This window comes from Homo sapiens, chromosome 7 (assembly GCF_000001405.40).
Source record: "Homo sapiens chromosome 7, GRCh38.p14 Primary Assembly".
Lineage (NCBI taxonomy): Eukaryota > Metazoa > Chordata > Mammalia > Primates > Hominidae > Homo > Homo sapiens.
Genome location: NC_000007.14, coordinates 138,419,252 through 138,435,418, shown reverse-complemented (window position 1 = coordinate 138,435,418; position 16,167 = coordinate 138,419,252). Strand labels below are relative to the sequence as shown.

General features: G+C 42.9%; 3 annotated features.

Annotated features, from left to right (window-relative positions):
• Positions 977-1,509: an enhancer, noted in NCBI's record as "H3K27ac-H3K4me1 hESC enhancer chr7:138118655-138119187 (GRCh37/hg19 assembly coordinates)". NCBI's record gives its function as "activates a minimal SCP1, AML or CMV promoter by ChIP-STARR-seq in primed H9 embryonic stem cells {active_cell/tissue: H9 hESC(primed)}" and the evidence as "EXISTENCE:reporter gene assay evidence [ECO:0000049][PMID:30033119]".
• Positions 1,510-2,042: an enhancer, noted in NCBI's record as "H3K27ac-H3K4me1 hESC enhancer chr7:138118122-138118654 (GRCh37/hg19 assembly coordinates)". NCBI's record gives its function as "activates a minimal SCP1, AML or CMV promoter by ChIP-STARR-seq in primed H9 embryonic stem cells {active_cell/tissue: H9 hESC(primed)}" and the evidence as "EXISTENCE:reporter gene assay evidence [ECO:0000049][PMID:30033119]".
• Positions 15,641-15,935: a silencer, noted in NCBI's record as "tiled region #5293; HepG2 Repressive non-DNase unmatched - State 7:EnhWF". NCBI's record gives its function as "represses a minimal TATA promoter and a strong SV40 promoter by Sharpr-MPRA in HepG2 cells {active_cell/tissue: HepG2}" and the evidence as "EXISTENCE:reporter gene assay evidence [ECO:0000049][PMID:27701403]".

The following is a 16,167-nucleotide window of genomic DNA, read 5'->3' as shown; positions in this document are numbered from 1 at the left end:
TTGAGTGCTATTTCTTTTGCGGCAATGAAACTTTATTTATAACACCTGTTCACTGCATATGTGCATACTATTGAGAAAGCAGTCATGGCAGGTGGCATGCAGATGCTAATGGTTGCTAAAATATTAACTCATGATCTTTATGTCACTAGTCTGGGTCATCACCATTAATTCTACCTTTGAGGACCTCTAGAATTAGGTTGTAACTGTATTTTGACTCATTCTTATTTTTATTATAGTTAATTGTATATACAATTGTATCTCTCTCCCCAACACAAGTATGGGCTTCCCAGAGACAGCATTTGTGTTGATTTCTCTTTGTATTCTAGTGCCAAGGATGTAGACCAGAGCCTTGGGATGGTATTAAGGAGAGAAAAAGAGTTGGTTTTGATGTGTGAGAGGGTAACCTATATTAAGACTGGGCTCCACTGAGAGTAGACACTGAAAATAGAAAACAATTGTCATTTAAAATATGCAAACAAGTCTCGGCCTGCTAGAGGGAAAGCCTTGATTTACATGGAGGTCAACCATCTCTGAGTTCTAAGAAAACCATTCTCATTTTGCTTTAGTTGTGCAAATGTGAATGAAGACACTTTCTAAAGTGAAGGTGTGGTCTAAGGGCTAAAGTGCTCTTCAGGGTTCTATAACTTTTGTCTTAATGCAGACAGAATTGTATATCTAAATATTCTTCCCTTGAGACTCTCATGTAGAGAAATGCTTGTTTCCTAGACTCAGACTGCCCCATGCAATTGCTTCTGCTTACTCTTGGGCGTTGTCCATAGTTAAATCCTTTATTGTGTTGGTTACTCACAGAAAATCAGTGGCACCGAACATTGCTGAAATGATGTTCAGGCCTGGTCATCCCTTCATGCTGGAGGAAAAACTGCCAAAAAAGCACTACACTTGTCACCGGTGGCAGGTGTCCAGGTTCTTGGTGTCTTGAACAAAGAATTGGACAAACTCACAAACGAAGCAAGGAAGGAATGAAGGGATTTAATGAATATGAAAGTACACTCCACAGTGTGGGAGTGGGTCAAGCATAGGGGCTCAAGCGTCTTGTTACAGAATTTTTGGAGTTTATATACCCTGTACTTGGAATATGCCTTATGTAAATGAAGAGAATGACAAAGTTATTTACTCAGCCTACACCCTATGGAGAGGATATTTCCTGTCATAGCTGAAGTGGGAATTGGCCTTATATTTCCTGCCTCCAGACGCTATTTTCCTGCCTCACACTGATCGTGCTACATGACATAGACTGGATTGTTGACAGCACATCATTTAATTCAAGACTGAATATCCCATATTTGATAACAACAACAAAAAGATTAGAGTCAAGTGAACTTGGTAATAATTTCTTCTTTCTTTAGATTGAAACTAGAGGAAGCTCTTTTTGGGGATATGATCCATTTCCCACAATATATAACGAATTCAGAATCAATCCTTCCTTCCCTTCTTCCCTCCCTCTCTCCCTCCTTCCCTTCCTCCCTCCCTCTCTCCCTCCTTCCCTTCTTCCCTTCCTTCCTCCCTCCCTTCCTCCCTTTCTTCTTTCTTTCCTCCCTCCCTCCCTTCCTCCCTTCCTTCCTTTCTTTTTTTGAGATAGTGTCTCACTCTGTCGCCCAGGCTGGGGTGCAATGGTTGAATAACGACTCACTGTAGCCTTGACTTCCCCTGCCCCAGGCAATCCTTCCACCTGAGTAGCTGGGACCACAGGCATGTGCCACCATGCCCAGCAAATTTTTGGTGTTTGTTTTGTTTTGTTTTGTTTTTGTTTTTTTTGGTTTTTGTTTGTTTGTTTGTTTGTTTGTTTTGTAGAGATGGGGTTTCACCAAGTTGCCCAGGCTGTTCTCCAACTTTTGGGATCAGGCAGTCCTTTCACCTTGGCCTCCCAAAATGCTGGGATTACATGCTCATTGTGAGCCACTGTGCCGGTCCCAGAATTTTTCTTTCTCTTCTTGTAATTTTCAAAAACTATCATACACACTACAGTGAGCTCTCCCTTAAAAACATTCAATATACTCTATTCTTACTCCCTTTTCATTTTCTTTATCTCATTCATCTTAGTTTAATGGTTAGTTTTCTTCTCTCTGGACCTGTTTTTTTATTTTATTTTATTTTATTTTTTCTGCCAATACTTCTACCTTTTGGAGATTCATAGCTATTTTGCATTTGAACTGCTTTTTAAATAAAACTATAACACAAAAAAAACTTTGGGACAAATGAAGGCTAAACACAAGAAGACCTTAAAACAACTTGAAGAATCTCTGTCACTTAATGCACATAGAAACATTGACAAAACAAAAGTCAAACATAGCATACAATTCAAATGTACTGCATGCAATATTCTCTAACTAGAAACTGTCATGCCAAGGTCATCTGTGGGTGGGTCTTTGAAACCATAAGCTCAAAATATTCTCATAGGATATTTAGTTAGTATATTTTTGAGTGAAAAGTCATTGTTTTTAAGGAGTTAGAAAAGGAGCATTTTGGCCATTATGGTAAAAAGTTAGTCGAATAGTTGCTGTGGGTTAAGAACGATAAAAACCAAAAAAATTAAGTCTGATGTCTGAAAATTTTATTCTGAAATCATCAAGTATTTATTAAAGTCTTGTTAAATGTTTCAGTGAGGCTTAGTGCTGTGGCTCATGCCTGTAATCCTAGCACTTTGGGGGGCTGAGGAAAGAGGGTCACTTGAACCTGGGAGGTGGAAGCCGCAGTGATCTGTGATCCTGCTACTTCACTCCAGTCTGGGTGACAGAGGAGAACCTGTCTCTAAAAAAAAGGAAAGAAAGAAAGAAAAAGAAAAACAAAGTGTTTCCACCAAGTCTTAGCTATCATCATTGGGAAAGGAAGGAAATGTGCACACCTGCAGTTGGGACTAGGCAGCAAGAAAGAAGGGAAAGCTGTTAAGAACCCATAGAATAAGAAGGCATCCTAAAAGCTTCTGCTGCTTCTTTTTTTTTTTTTTTTTTTTCTTGATACAGGGTCTCACTCTGTTGCCCAAGGGTGTGATCTCAGCAGTAATCAACTCACTGCAACCTCCACTTCCTGGACTCAAGCCATCCCACCTCAGCCTCCTAAGTAGTTGGGACCACAAGAACATGACACCATGCCTGTTTTTTTGTTTTGTTTTGTTTTGTTTTTTAGAGACAGGATGGACAGAGTCTTGCTCTGTCACCCAGGTTGGAGTGCAGTGGCACAATCATAGCTCACTGCAACCTCAAACTCCAGGGCTCAAGCACTCCTCTTGCCTCCGCCTCCCAAAAGTACCAAGATTACAGGCACAAGCCACCATGCTGGGCCAATTCTAAAAGCTTCTAAAGGAAGGAAAAACAAACAAACAAACAAACAAACAAACCAGGTCATAGATATAGAACTAAGAATCAGAATGAAACCAAACTTCTGAACAGCCACACAGAAAGCTAGAGACAATGGGGAAAAGCCTTCAGAATTAGGAGAAAAAATCATTACCAACCCTGAACATTTTTCTGTATTATTCAAATGATTTTTAAAGAGATAATACCAGTGCATAGCTCTATGATCATATTGAGAGAGGAGAAAGGAATAAACCGGTCAGGCAGGCAGTTAGGGTGGGTCCTCAGCTGAATTCTTTCAAACAAAAGAACAGCCTGAAAAATCAAGCAGCAGGCACAGATAAGGGAACTTGCACAGGGGGGACTTGCCTAAGACATGCCCACAGCCACACAGATAAGAAAGACTACACAGCTGACTTGCCTAGACGTGTCTGCAATGGAAAATTCTGTCTGCTGACACATGTGCAGTAAGGGGAACAAAGCAATATGGAGTAACTCAAGCTAAGGGCTCACAGGTGCATTAGGAGGTTGGTGTGGAGCTACCAGAAATTTGCATCTTATGCAAATGAGATGCCCTGCCCCCATCAGTTTCTGATAAAAGCCTTTGCATTCAACTGTAAAAACGGCAACCCTCTTTTGGGCTCCCTCTCCACTGCAGAGAGGCTTCTTCTTTTGCTTATTAAACTTTTGCTCCAACCTGACCCTTTATGTTCAAGCTCCTTAATTCTCTTGCTTGTGAGACAAAGAACTCCAGGTGATACCTCACAAGGAGAGATTGCTACATTGTGGCGCATTGGCAAGACTGTAACCATATGTATTTCTACTCCTCTTTAGCCTGAAAAGTAATCTCGTGAGAATAGTGTCTCTTTGCTATATAAATGTATCAATATATGTATATTTGGCGATGGCGGGCGGGGGGGGTCTCACTATGTTGCCCAGACTGGTCTCAAGCTTCTGGATCAAGCGATCCTCTTGTTTCAGTCTTCTAAGTAGCCAAGATTACAGGTGCATACCACTGCACCCTGCTTCTCAGCTTCTCTGCTACCACTCTCTCTCTGTCTTTCCATATATATATATATATATATATATATATATATATTTGTTTGTTTGTTTTTGAGACAGCGTCTCACTCTGTTGCCCGAGCTGGAGTGCAGTGGTGATATCACAGCTCACTACAGCATGGACCTTTCAGGCTCAAGCAATCCTGCCACCTTGGCTTCCTGAGGAGCTGAGACTACAAGCATGGGCCATCACATCGGGCTAATTTTGTTTATTTTTTGTAGAGATGTAGAGACTGAGGTCTCACTGTGTTTCCCAGTCTGGTCTTGAGATCCTAGGTTCAAGTGATCCTCCTGTGTCAGCCTCCCAAAGTGTTGGGATTACAGGCATGAGCCACTGTGCCCAACTGCCATATTTTTAACATTGTAATCATAGTAAAGCATTACCTGTTACAGACTTTAACGACGAGACGTACTAGAAGTTTGTATTCGTCCGTTCTCCCACTGCTAATAAAGACATACCTGAGACTGGGTAATTTATAAAGGAAAGAGGTTTATTTGACTCACAGTGCAGCATGACTGGGAGGCCTCAGGAAACTTACAATCATGGTGGAAGGGGAAGCAAACATCTACTTCTTCACATGGCATCAGGGAGAAGAAGAATGAGTGCCCAGTGAAGGAGAAAGCCCTTTGTAAAAACATCAGATCTGGTGTGAACTCACTATCATGAGAACAGGGTGGGGGAAACTGCCCCTTTGGTTCAATTATCTACAGCTGGTGCCTCCCACAACATGTGGGGATTATAGGAACTACAATTCAAGATGAGATTTGGGTGAGGACACACAGTCAAACCATATCAAAGTCGTAGGGTGTTTCTGAAGTAGCCTCACCACCTCTCCTAACTTGACTTCCCAAAAGAATTGGAATTCTCCTTATTAGGTGCAGGGAGTTCCTCTTCAAAGAATCAGCTTGTTCAGCTTCCTTGTTCTTTGTTCTCTATTTTCAGAGCCTAACTTCCTCATTCTTTGTGCCTCCTTGTCCCTAGTTATGGTAAACAACATTCCCGCCAGTTCTAATCTGATTCACACCTGTTCCCTTGGTTACCTGCCCTGCCTGTAACTGTCCTTCCCACCAAAAGTATTCTTCCCGCCAAAACTGCTCACCCCACTGCTGTAACCCACACCCCTGCTCCATTTAAAATAGCCAGCCGGGATTAGTTTAGATTGTGCAGTCCAGCCCCAGCCAATGAGAGCAGGACACAGCAACAGGGACTAACTGCATTAGAGATAACAATCCCTTCCCTTCTTTGTTTGGTGTGCTCTTGGGCTTGTGACTGATGCAGGCAGCACCCTTCTGCAGAAGTAAATTTGCCTTGCTGAGAAATCCTTAGTCTGAGTGTTCATTCTCTCTGTGGCTCCAAGCTCTTATTTCCAACATCCTTTTCAGAACTCCAGTGTAACTTACATTGTATTATGATCAATGGTCTCCTCATTAGACTTTTAGGGGGTGACCATCTCAGTCTCCTCGGCTTACTACACTCACTAGCCTCTCACAGGGCCTTGAATATGGTAGGAGCTCAATGGCCTCATGTTGATAGTTGCTATACTTTGCAGAATCTCCTATCTTTGGAAATCTTTTCAAAAATGTCTTCATAGGGCAGGCATAGTGGCTCAGGCCTATAATCCTAGCACTTTGGGAGGCTGAGGTGGGAGGATGACTAGAGCCCAGGAGTTCAAGACCAGCCTGGGCAACACGGCAAGACTCTGTTTGTTTGTTTTGAGATGGAATCTCACTCTGTCAGCCAGGCTGGAGTGCAGTGGTGTAATCTCGGCTCACTGCAACCTCCGCCCCCACCCCAGGTTCAAGCAATTCTCCTGCCTCAGCCTCCCGAGTAGCTGGGACTATAGGCACCTGCCACCGTGCCTGGCTCATTTTTGTATTTTTAGTAGAGATGGGGTTTCACCATCTTGGCCAGGCTGGTCTTGAACTCCTGACCTCATGATCTACCTGCCTCAGCCTCCCAAAGTGCTGGTATTACAGGTGTGGGCCACCGCGCCCAGCCAAGACTCTGTTTTATTAAAATAAAATAAAACAAAATAATTTTTTTTATTACTTCAAACTCTTTCCCCAACACCAGTTCTACCTCAAAGTAAAAAGATAAGTTATTTTATTTTATTTATCTATTTTTTAACTTTTGGGTTCAGGGTTGCATGTGCAGTTTTGTTATATAGGTAAACTCATGTCAGGGGTTTGGTGTACAGGTTATTTCATCACCCAGGTACTAAACATAGTACCTAATAGGTATGTTTTCTGATCCTCTCTCTCTCCTTCCACCGTGAAGTTATTTTAAAACCATGATTTTCCACAACTTATTCCATAAGGGTCAAAATTCATATTGAGATCATGAGGTCCAATCACACTTTACCTCTTGAAAATTTTTCTTCTTTCATATAAGTATCAATCATTGAGAGAAATAACTAGTTATTACACTCAATTCATTATTCATTGCTCATAAATATTTGAGTTGAATCACTCCAGATGAGATTCGATAGTAAAATACGCAATTTGAAGCCTTGCTTTCTACTGGAATAGTGGATTTCAGAACTTTTTAGAGCTTCAAGTATATATATATTTTCTAAATTATACAATGAATGAATCCAGTTTGTCTCTTACACTGGTGAGCACCCATTCCTTGGAAATGGAAAGCGATATCCACTTAGCCTTAGCCTCTCTAGAAGCCATTAGCTGTATGACTGGTAGTTACTGCCTCCTATTACTTTTTTTTTTTTTTTTTTTTTTTGAGTGAGAGTCTTGCTCTGTTGCTCAGGCTGGAGTGCAGTGGTGCAATCTGGGCTCACTGAAACCTCTGCCTCCTGGGTTCAAGAGATTCTCCCACCTCAGCCTCCCTAGTGACTGGGATTACAGGTGTGCACCACCATGCCTGGCTGATTTTTGTATTTTTGTAGAGACGGGGTATCATCATGTTGACTAGGTTAGTTTTGAACTCCTGGCCTCAAATGATCTGCCCACCTTGGCCTCCCAAAGTGCTGGGATTACAGGTGTGAGCCACCATGCCTGGCCCTCCTATTACTTTTTATAAAAGCATAGTGTTACAAAAGCATTAGTGCACAAGTAGGAGTATAAGTCAGTTCAGTTTGAAAGGTATAGCAAAGCTCTAAATTACTTTCACATATTTGACCCAAAATTCTACTGTAAGGATTTTGTTTTTGGGAAAAAGTATGCACCAATGTAAATAATGGCATGTATAGAAGGGTTTTTTGTTTGTTGTTTTTTGTTTGTTTGTTTTTGTTTTTTGTTTTGTTTTGTTTTTTGTTTTGAGATGGAGTCTTGCTCTGTCGCCCAGGCTGGAGTGCAGTGGCATGATCTCGGCTCACTGCAAGCTCTGCCTTCCGGGTTCACATCATTCTCCTGCCTCAGCCTCCGGAGTAGCTGGAACTACAGGCGCCTGCCACTGCACCCAGCTAATTTTTTGTATTTTTAGTAGAGACAGGGTTTCACCGTGGTCTCCATCTCCTGACCTCGTGTTCTGCCTGCCTCTGCCTCCCAAAGTGCTAGGATTACAGGCGTGAGCCACCGCGCCCGGCCCTGCTTGTTTTTTGAAATGGAGTCTTGCTCTGTGGCCAGGCTGGAGTGCAGTGGTGCAATCTCGGCTCACTGCAACCTCCACCTCCCAGGTTCAAACGATTCTCCTGCCTCAGCCTCCCGAGTAGCTGGGACTACAGGCATGCGCCACCATGCTCAGCTAATTTTTGTATTTTTGGTAGACTCAGGGTTTCACCATGTTGGCCAGGATGGTCTTGATCTCTTGACCTTGTGATCCATCCACCTCAGCCTCCCAAAGTGCTGGGATTACAGGTGTGAGCCACTGCACCTGGCCAGCATGTATAGAGGGTTTTTAAAAAATTACAGCAATAGTTTAATAGCCAAAAAACTAGAAACAATCAATAAACCAGTACTGAGAGTTTGCTTAAATAGTTATATCTATGAATTGAAATGCTACATAGCTTTTAAGACTGTCCTGTTGGAACACAATATAGGATATATAGGACACAATATAGGACAATATAGGATATGTCCCAGATAAATAGGTGAAGAACTAACTTATGGAAAAAAAAAAAAAAAAAAAAGAAGCAAGGAGGGAAGCAAGGAAGGAAGCAAGGATGGAAAGAAAGACCTGGAAGTGTATATATGAAAATGTTTCCGTGGTTTTTCCCTGAGTGAGATACAGGTGATTTTGTTTTCTTCTATGCATTTTTCTGCTTTTCCAGTAAACAGCTCTTTTTTTTAATCAAGCAAAATATTTTAATAAATAAAATGTCAAAGCAACCAAGAATGAACTGTAATATAAACTATGAACTTTGGGTGATAATAACATGTCAATGTAAGTTCATCAAATGTACCATGATGGTGTGGGATGTTGATATGGGGGAATCTATACATGTGTAGGGGTAGGGAGTATATGGGAAATCTCTGAAACTTTCACCAATTTTGCTGTGAATCTAAAACTGCTCTTAAAAACTGAAGTATTTTAAAATCAATCAATAAAAAAGAAGGAAGCAGGGAACCAAAGCATTAGTCCAAATGCTGGGCAAAAAATTGGGTTCTGTATCTAATCCCCAAAATGTATTCATAAGCTCTATCCTGCTTCTCACTCCTTACTTTAGGACTATTCCTAATTATAATAAGCATAAATTTTGTACAGCTCTTTAATTAATTTGTAAAATAGCTTACTCCATGAGAAGTAACATTGTCCTAAGTTTGAGAAAAAAAGGGTTTAGAGCAGAACTGCTGCTTATGTATTTATTTATTTTTATAGAGACAAGTTCTTGCCACATTGCCCAGGCTGGTCTCCAACTCCTGGGCTCAAGTAATTCGCCCACTTTGGCCTCCAAAGTGCTTGGGTTACAGGTGTGAGCTTTTCTTTTCTTTTCTTTTTTTGGAGATGGAGTCTCTCTCTGTCACCCGGCTGGAGTACTGTGGCACGATCTTGGCTCACTACAACCTTTGCCTCCCGGGTTCAAGCGATTCTCCTGCCTCAGCCTCCTGAGTAGCTGGGACTACAGGCACACGCCACCATGCCCGACTAATTTTTGTATTTTTTTTAATAGAGACAGGGTTTCACCATGTTGGCCAGGCTGGTCTTCAACTCCTGACCTCAGGTGATCCACCCATTTCTGCCTCCCAAAGTGCTGGGTTTACAGGCGTGAGCTACCATGCCTGGCCTTGAGCTTTTCTTTTTTTCTTTTTTTTTGAGATGGAGTCTCACTCTGTTGCCCAGGCTAGAGTGCAGTGGCTTGATCTCAGCTCACTGCAAGCTCCGCCTCCCAGGTTCACGCCATCCTCTTGCCTCAGCCTCCTGAGTAGCTGGGACTACAGGCGCCTACCACCACGCCCGGCTAATTTTTTGTATTTTTACTGGAGATCGGGTTTCACCGTGTTAGCCAGGATGGTCTCGATCTCCTGACCTTGTGATCTGCCTGCCTCGGCCTCCCAAAGTGCTGGGATCACAGGCGTAAGCCACCACGCCCAGCCGCAAGCTTTTCTTATATGATGTAATTAAACCTTCTTCTGTGAAGTATCCAGCATTTCTAAGAAAATGTTTTGAGCAATTTTCAGATAGACTTTTATTCTGACATAGGCAAAACCAGTGCTTTTCCTATTCTTTTGTTAGAATAGACAGCTAGGCAGACATGAGCAGGGCAGAGAGGAATGTTGGGCAACCATCAGGTGATGGTCAGGTGGTTGTTAAACCGGCTGGCTAAAATAATAATTGGTTACAGCTGGTGCCAGGGAAAGATGGTCTCCCAATAGATAGAAAACACCTGAAGCTGGTGACCAGCAGCTTCCCGATAAGATCTCAGGAGCTGGATGAGCAGGCTCAAGCATGAGCACTAAGAGGCAAAATGGTGGAGTTTACCAGTATGCGACCTTCCTCAAGGAATGCTCCACTGATAAGGGAAAAAAATGTCCCAAGTGAGTGAGCACGCACACATCTTCAGTAAACATACTGAGCATGCGGCCCTTCCCAAGTGCTGGCAGGCCACCACACATGTGGATAGCCCACCCTAAGGGAAGAATCAAGGGAGAAGAAATGCAAACCCCAGAACCCAGGCCAATGTATAAAACCCCAGGTCAAAGGCCAAACAGGGCAATTGGGTCTTTCAAGTCGCCAGCTTGGCCCTCTTGCAAGTGTACTTTGCTTCCTTTTGTTCCTGCTCTAAAACTTTTAAATAAACGTTCACTCCTGCTCTAAAATTTGTCTCAGTCTCTCACTCTGCCTTCTGCCCCTTGGCTGAATTCTTTCCTCCAAGGAGGCAACAACTGAGTTTGCTGCAGACCTGTAAGATTTGCTGCTGGTAACACTTTCACTCAACAATCAACAAAGAATGCTTCTGTGACCCCCGACGTGTGTGGGGTTTTACTCCCCACGCAACAAGCAAGCAATCAATTCTCCCAATTCTGCCGTGGATACAAACTGGGTTTCCCTAATTCAACTCAACCCTGACACTGTCTTCTTTTTTTTTGAGACAGAGTCTTGCTCTGTCACCCAGGCTGGAGTGCAGTGGCGCTATCTCGGCTCATTGCAACCTCTGCCTCCTGGGTTCAAGCGATTCTCCTGCCTCAGCCTCTGAGTAGCTGAGACTACAGGTGTGTACCACCACACCCAACTAATTTTTGTATTTTTAGTAGAGATGGCGTTTCACCATGTTGGCCAGGATGGTCTTAATCTCTTGACCTCGTGATCCACTCGCCTTGGCCTCCCAAAGTGCTGGGATTAAAGGTGTGAGCCACCGCGCCTGGCCTGACACTATCTTTTTGTTTTTTCTTTTTTACAATCCATAGACCTTATTCGGATTTCAGAGTCTGATACCATCTATCTATCTGGAGATAGCTTCAGATCCCAAAGGTTGAGGGCTCGGCCCTATAAAGCTGTTCCCACTTCAGATGCCAGTAGCAAGCACAGTTTGTGGCCTGAGTTTCTGGCTGACTAGCTATAAATTGGGGTTCCTACAATCCTCTCCTTTGGTTTAATTAATTTGCTAGATGAGGCCAGGTATGGGGGCTCATGCCTATAATCCCAGCACTTTGGGAGGTCAAGGCAGGTAGATCACTTGAGGCCAGGAGTTTGAGACCAACCTGGCCAACATGGTGAAACGCTGTCTCTACTAAAAATACAAAAATTAGCTCGGTGTGGTGGTGTGCACCTGTAATCTCAGCTATCCAGGAGGCTGAGGTATGAGAACTGCTTGAACCTGGGAGGTGGAGGTTTCAGTAAGCCAAGATCGCACCACTGCACTCTAGCCTGGGTAATAGAGTGAGACTCCCTCTCAAATAATAATAATAATAAGACCAGGTGTGGTGGCTCACACCTGTAATCCCAGCACTGTGGGAGGCTAAGGTGGGTGGATCACCTGAGGTCAGGAGTTTGAGACCAGTCTGACCAACATGATGAAACCCCGTCTCTATTAAAAAATACAAAAATTAGCCAGGCATGGTGGTGGGCATGTGTAATCCCAGCTACTTGGGAGGCTGAGGCAGGAGAATCGCTTGAACCCGGGAGGTGGAGGTTGCAGTGAGCCAAGATCGCGCCATTGCACTCCAGCCTGGGCAACAGAGCAAGACTCTGTCTCAATAATAATAATAATAACAATAAATTTGCTCGAGCAGTTCACAGAACTCAGGGAAACACTTCATTTACTCTTACCTTTTTATACTAGAAAATATTACAAAGAATACAGATGAACAGGGAGACGGGAGAGATGCATAAGGCAAAGTATGTGGGAAGGGGCACGGAGCTCCCATGTCCTCTCCAGGAGCACCGTTCTCCAGAAACCTTCACGTGTTCAGTTATTTGAAGCCCCCAGAACTCAGCCTTTTTAGGTTTTTACGGATGCTTCATTACACAGGCATGATTGATTCAATCATTAACCATTCATGAGCAATTCAATCTTCAGCCCCACTCCTTTCCCTGGAGGTTGGGAGGTGGTACTGAAAGTTTCAACCCTCTGATCATGCCTTGGTTTTTCTGGTGACCAGCTCCCATCCTGAAGCTATGTAGGGGTCACATGAGCATACAAAAGATAATTCTTTGTTTTATTTATCTATTTATTTTACACTTTTCAACAGTGTCACTTCTCAAACAAAAGACTCTTATCACTCTGGAGAATCCAAGGGTCTTAGGAGCTGTATGCCAAGAAACAGGATGAACACCGAATATATATTTCACAATATCACAACTTTGATGAGATTAAGAGATTCTTTAAGCCAGAATGCCTTGGAGAAATGACTGATCTCAGATTTGGGGCAGAAAATGTGTAAAGTGATTCTGGAACATCTTTTCTTTATGAGAGAGCAAGGAAACTATCAAAGACTACATGGTCATGTCAAAAGTTTATCAAAACCAACTTGAAGGCTGGGCACGGTGGCTCACACCTATAATCCCAACATTTTGGGAGGCCGAGGCAGGTGGATCACCTGAGGTTGGTTGTTTGAGACAGGCCTGGCCAATGTAGTGAAGCCCTATCTCTACGAAAAATACAAAAATCAGCCAGATGTGGGTGACAGAGTGAGACTCCATCTAAAAAATAAAAATAAAAATAAAAAATAAATAAAAAACTAACTTGAAGAGACAACAAACTCTTATTGACAGAAGGGATAATTCAAATATCGAAAAGAAGAATGGATTGTGGTGGCTTACACCTGTAACCTCAGCACTTTGGGAGGCCAGGTGGACAGATCACATGAGGCCAGGAGTTGGAGACCAGCCTGCCCAACATGACGATACCCCGTCTCTACTAAAAATACAAAAATTAGCCAGGTGTGTCAAAAAGGTGTGGTGGCACACGCCTACAGTCTCAGCTACATGGGCTGAGACACGAGAATCACTTGAGCTCAGGAGGCCAAAGTTGTAGTAAGCCAAGATCGTGCCATGGCATTCTAGTCTGGGTGACAGAGCAAGACTTCGTCTCAAAAAAAAAAAAAAAAGAAGAAGAAGAATAGATTAAAGCATATCACGTGAAAATTCAAGAGTTGATAGTCAACAGAAAACCACATCATTGGCCAGGAGCAGTGGCTCATGCGTGTAATCCCAACACTGTGGGAGGCTGAGACAAGTGGATCACTTGAAGTCAAGAGTTTGAGACCAATCTGGCCAACATGGTGAAACCCCATCTCTATTAAAAATACACACAAAAAAATTAGCCAGGCGTGGTGGTGTGGGCCTGTAATCTCAGCTACTTGGGAGGCTGAAGCAGGAGAATCACTTGAATCCGGGAGGCAGAGGTTGCAGTGAGCCAAGACTGCACCAGTACACTCCTGCCTGAGTGTTAGAGTGAGATTCCGTCTAAAAAAAAAAAATGGATCCGGCTGATAGCACCAGAAACCAAAGGCTGATCTTGCATCACAGAAACAGCATTAGTTATTACATGCCTCTGGATATAAAGCAACCGGGAGTGCACATTATCATCAACAAACTATTTTTGCAAAAAAGAAAAAAAAAATCAAACTTGAAGCTGAAGCTGATCACACCGCTAGATCTAACTATGGTACCAGTTTACAGGTAGGTTACACTGGGAGCTGAAGAATATGTGTGTGCTTGAGTGAGAAAATGACAGAGATGCAATTGGCAAAATCCAGATCGTGGGAAATTCTATATAGAATTGTTTTGTATTTATACAAATACAAACAACTTGGGTTCTTCAACATCAATGACAACAAAATGGCTAGTAAAAAAAAAAAGAGAGAAAAGGAGACCATAGGTTAAAGGAGACATAAAAAATATATCAACCAAATGTGGCTGGGCACGGTGGCTCACGCCTGTAATCCCAGCACTTTGGGAGGCTGAGGCAGGCAGATCACAAAGTCAAGAGATCGAGACCATCCTGACCAACATGGTGAAACCCCATCTCTACTAAAAATACAAAAATTAGCTGGGTGTGGTGGCATGCACCTGTAGTCCCAACTACTCGGGAGGCTGAGGCAAGAGAATCACTTGAACCCTGGAGGCAGAGGTTGCAGTGAGCTGAGATGGCACCACTGCACTCCAGCCTGGCGACAGAGTGAGACTCCATCTCAAAAAAAAAAAAAGGAAATGCAATGAGAAGATCTTGTTTGGGTGCTGATTGGAACAAAACATTTGTAAAAATGAAACATTTATGAACTGGTAAAGGAACCTTGAACACTGTCTGGATATTTAATGATATTAAGGAAATATTATTAATCTTTTATATGTATGCATATGTGTGTCCATATATATATATATATTTTTTTTTTTCTTTTTTTTGTAAGGATATGGTCTCAGTATATTGGCCAGGCTAGTCTTGAACTCCTGGGCTCAAGAGATCCTCCCACCTTGGCCTCCCAAAGTGCTGGGATTATAGATGCGAACAACCATGATGGTCTGTTAGTGTTTTTTTGTTATGTTAAAGAGAGAGGGAGAGAACATCTTAGAAGTATAAACTCAAGTATCTGTCGGGAAAGAAAATTTTCCTCTACCTTCTTAGGTCTCTGGCTTAATTTTCAAAACAAACTTACAAGAGAAAGATCAACAGGAGAAAAGTCACACAAATGAATTTGATGTTAAAAGTTTTCCATGGTGGCCGGGGGCGGTGGCTTATGCCTGTAATCCCAGCACTTAGGGAGGCCTAGGTGGGCAGATCACAAGGTCAGGAATTCAAGACCAGCCTGGCCAGCATGGTGAAACCCTGTCTCTACTAAAGATACAAAAAAGTAGCCAGGTGTGGTGGCACGTGCCTGTAATCCCAGCTACTCGGGAGGCTGAGGGAGGAGAATCGAATGAACCCAGGAGGTGGAGGTTGCAGTGAGCCGAGATCATGCCATTGCACTCCAGCCTTGGCAACAGGGCGAGACTCATTCTCAAAAAAAAAAAAAAAAACAAAAGAAGTTTTCTATGGTAGGGGTGGGAAGTGCTCACGGAGAGAAGAGAAAAAAACCTCTAAAGAAAAAACTAAGCTTGGAGGCTTTTATACCATTCAGGCAAAAGAGAATACATTTGAAGAGAAGTGATGAAATGAAAGAAAGGGTCTTTGCACTTCAAGGGGTGGCAAATTATAGGAAGGCAAATACATGGGGAAACTAATGGAAGGAAAGGGCTAGTGAGGTTTATGTAGGCCCTTTCTTGGTGACTTCTTGTCTCACGTGTTAAGGTGCTTATTCCCTCCCTGGTATGGGAAGTTGCCGAGGGTGCCCTTCACGGGGGGATTTTATGATCTGCTTTCAGGCATACAGGGGATGGCAGAGAGCTCTTCCTATGTTTGCTCTTCCTCAATTGCTGTCAGCTCAAAATAATCTTTATCCCAGAGTGGCATATTTGGAGGTGGTGTGTTCTAATCTCCTACATACCTATAGGTGAAATTTGGAAGTTGCTTTAAAATAATCCATTTGGGGTGGTGGAATAGATAGGAGTGTATATCAATAAGATTGGTTATGTGTTGATAACCTTTGAAGCAAGGTGACAGGTACAGGCTATCATGTTGCTGAACGCCAGGGGTTTGGTGTAGGTCTGGTTGTTCACCTTACAGAAAGCCAATCCCTGTGACAACAAATATTGACAGGGAGAAAGGCTTTCTTTTGGGTGACATCAGCCTAAAGATAGGAGACAAGTCTCAAATCCATCTCCTAACCAACTAAAGTTTGGGGTTTATATAGTGGGGAAGGCAAATAGGAATTAGGAAGGGATGAGGAAGAGGAGTTGGCCAACAGGTGTCTCATTGTCTTGGTATGATGATCTGGAACACTTCAGTTCCTTGATCCTATCTGAAAGCCCTGATAGTCAGTTTCCTGAGAAAGGAACTCAGTTAAGACAAATGTAAGTTTCT